This window comes from Homo sapiens, chromosome 10 (genome assembly GCF_000001405.40).
Source record: "Homo sapiens chromosome 10, GRCh38.p14 Primary Assembly".
NCBI lineage: Eukaryota > Metazoa > Chordata > Mammalia > Primates > Hominidae > Homo > Homo sapiens.
The window spans coordinates 111756325-111757483 of NC_000010.11; the positions used below are offsets into that span (position 1 = coordinate 111756325).

At 45.6% G+C, this 1159-nt stretch overlaps 1 annotated feature.

The window, feature by feature from the left end:
* Nucleotides 216-265: an enhancer, noted in NCBI's record as "active region_4061". NCBI's record gives its function as "activates an Ori minimal core promoter by ATAC-STARR-seq in GM12878 lymphoblastoid cells {active_cell/tissue: GM12878}" and the evidence as "EXISTENCE:reporter gene assay evidence [ECO:0000049][PMID:35858748]".

Below are 1159 nucleotides of genomic sequence, written 5' to 3' on the forward strand. Positions count from 1 at the left end.
ACAGCCCACTCCAGGAAGGAGACCGGCCTCGCCCCTGTGTCTGAAAGCCAGCAGCTGTGGAGCTGGGGGAGCAATAAATAAGAAAGAGTCTATGGAGAGGACAGAGACAGCATTCAACTCAGCAGAGCCCAGCCTTGCTGTGACATGATATGATCTGGAAGAAATGTGACCTGTATTCCACATTGACCACCCTTGCTCCTCCCCATCCTGTAGAAGACGACCTGCATCTCGGGTAAATTCTGTTAGAAGAGTGAAGCCAGGGATGCAGCAAGCCGGCACAGCTGGGCAGAAAAGCAGTGAACTGAGTCTCATCCCACAAGAGGGAGCTCTCGGTTCCGCACAGCTTTAAGTGACTGCACCTGATGCAACTACCCAAGCAAATCCTTCACGTGGATTTCTGCTGCCATACTTTCGTTACTGAAACACCATTTTATCATACTTCGTACAATCAGGAAAGATCTGTGTCTCCTCTCCCTTCTTTGCAGTTTGTCTCTACAGTGTAAGAAGCTGGAAGGTCCTTATAATTTCTCTGGGTAAGATTTGGTTTGAATTAAAGCTAAGAGAAGGACAGGGACATAAGAGATGTTCGTGTGAAGAAGGCAAAGGGACTTGTTTGTGTTTCTGCCGGAAGACAGGGAGCCTACTGTTCTTTGGGTTAAGGAGAGCAACCATGATGACTCACAGTAAACATTTCCAATGACAGAGCCCCAGGTTCTGGAATCCAGATCCTCTTCTCAAGTTTCCCCTCACCATACCCTTGTCAAATAAAAATAAGTAAAATCTTCCATGTTATAATCCTTTAGGGGAAGAACACTTCCCTTCGTGACTAGAGGCCATGTATGCAGGATGCTAGACACCACTCAAAGCTATCACCTCCCATTCAATCCATCAGTGAAGCTTGCCAGTTCTAGTTTTGAAGTATATCTGGAATATGACCACTTTTCACCCTTACCACCTCCTCTGCCAGCACCTGGACTGAGTCACCATCTCTTACTTGAATTATTGCTTTTGCCTCCTTTCTGAGTGCTCAGTTTTCAAACTTGCCCCTATAGTTTATTGTCTATTTTAAAACCAGAATGATCCCATCACAGTGTAAATCCAATTTTGTGACTCCTTTGCCCAGCATGTTCCAATGATCCCCTCTTTCTCAGAATAAAAT